The 1601-nt window shown below is 50.0% G+C and overlaps 2 annotated features.

The window, feature by feature from the left end:
- Window positions 981-1276: an enhancer, noted in NCBI's record as "tiled region #10414; HepG2 Activating DNase matched - State 5:Enh". NCBI's record gives its function as "activates a minimal TATA promoter and a strong SV40 promoter by Sharpr-MPRA in HepG2 cells {active_cell/tissue: HepG2}" and the evidence as "EXISTENCE:reporter gene assay evidence [ECO:0000049][PMID:27701403]".
- Window positions 981-1276: a silencer, noted in NCBI's record as "tiled region #10414; K562 Repressive non-DNase unmatched - State 20:ReprD". NCBI's record gives its function as "represses a minimal TATA promoter and a strong SV40 promoter by Sharpr-MPRA in K562 cells {active_cell/tissue: K562}" and the evidence as "EXISTENCE:reporter gene assay evidence [ECO:0000049][PMID:27701403]".

The raw sequence follows: 1601 nt of genomic DNA, 5'->3' as shown, positions 1-1601 counted from the left end.
CTCCATAGTCCTTTTTTCTGTGCTGTTTTCAAGGCCTTTCTTCACTGCTGTCTGGAATAGGAATGATGCATGAAGACATTTTATCCAACCCCTCCCCTTCGCTTACACACATCAGATTATACTATATTGTTTTACTAACTTTTTTATCCCCTAGAAGGCTTAGCAGAAAGCCTAGCCCATACCAGGTGTTCAGGAAATGGATGGATGGATGGATGGATGAAGGAAGGGAAGAATGTGTGGATGGAAGGATGAAGGGAAGGAGGAATGGATGGAGGGAGGGAAGCAGGGAGGGATGAAGGGAGGGAGGAAGGGAGGAAGGGAGGGAGGAAGGGAGGGAGGGATGGATGGATGGATGGAGAGAAAGAGGGAGGGAGGGATAGAGGGACAGATGGAATAAGACAGAAATCAAGAGGAGGACTATGCTCCAAGAATAAGCTCTCAAACCTATCTTCAGGGCCCAAGGAGGAGCTCTGTGTACTTGGAATAAGAGCTTGCCCAGAGTAGGGATTATGACCACCCTTTCCTGGCCTCCAGCCTTCCACAGATAAGGAAGGGCTTGTGGGCCACATTAAGGGCCATATGGGGGCCTGCATGCCAAAGTCACAACCAGGCTTCTCAGGCCTTGTCACCTCCATAAACAGAGGTCAAGAGGATGCCCCACATACGTACCCTCCCTGCCCTCACAAAAAGCCACAGCTTCACCACCAGGTGAAGCCTTGAACCCACCAGGAGTAACTGCATTATACGGTTTACCTATCTATGAGCAGTCATGCCAAGCAGAAAGCCCCATAAGGATCTGCACAGTCCCTGTTTCTGCCCCTGCCTCCCACTGCCCTCAACACCTGAAACACATCACCTATGCCTCTAAAGCTTGCTGTCCATCAACAGCAAAATCCCTTATATCTTTGATCTCTTCTCTAAATGCAGCTTTCAACATGGAAAAGGGTCCTGAGGCACCTGAAGAGAGAGGAAGCTGTGGGACAGGTCCAGCCAGAGCCCAGGCCAGAGGGGCAGAAGCTGGAGTCCTGGAGCACAGACGCAGGTTGTCAGGTGCACAGAGTTGGAGGGTCCCCTGCTGGTCATGGTTGGCCATGGGGGCACCCAGGAGGGATCAGCGAGCTGGCTACACCTAAAAATCAGTCCAAAGTCCGAGGTCCAAAGAGATAAATAAAAACATTGACAAATAAGTCAAACGGTCCAGCAACAAATGGGGACCCAAGGATCAGGCACATTGTTTTTTTTTTTTTTTGGAGTATTAGCATACACTGTGACAGGAAAGAGTGTGAGCTCAATCATGTGGCCTTGGACTGGGAGAGGGCATTTCCTTCTCAGAGGCAACTAAGCCCTACCTTTGCCTCAGTCTGGGCTCTGTAATCCTGCTTTGTGCTCATCTCCCCAAGACTGATCACCTGGGGGAAGCTGGGGTGGTTCAACCCTGCCTGCCCTTCCCCAACATACAGATGGTGGCAGGTAACATGGTGAAATCAAACAGATCTGGTTTTTCATCCGCCTATCCACCCAGGTGACCTTGGACAATTTATTTAGCCTCTAGGCCTCAGTAGTCCCAGGGAAGTAATAATCGCTATTCACTATTTTAAGGA

The sequence above is a fragment of the Homo sapiens genome, chromosome 17 (genome assembly GCF_000001405.40).
Source record: "Homo sapiens chromosome 17, GRCh38.p14 Primary Assembly".
NCBI lineage: Eukaryota > Metazoa > Chordata > Mammalia > Primates > Hominidae > Homo > Homo sapiens.
This window is presented reverse-complemented; position numbering and strand designations above follow the sequence as displayed.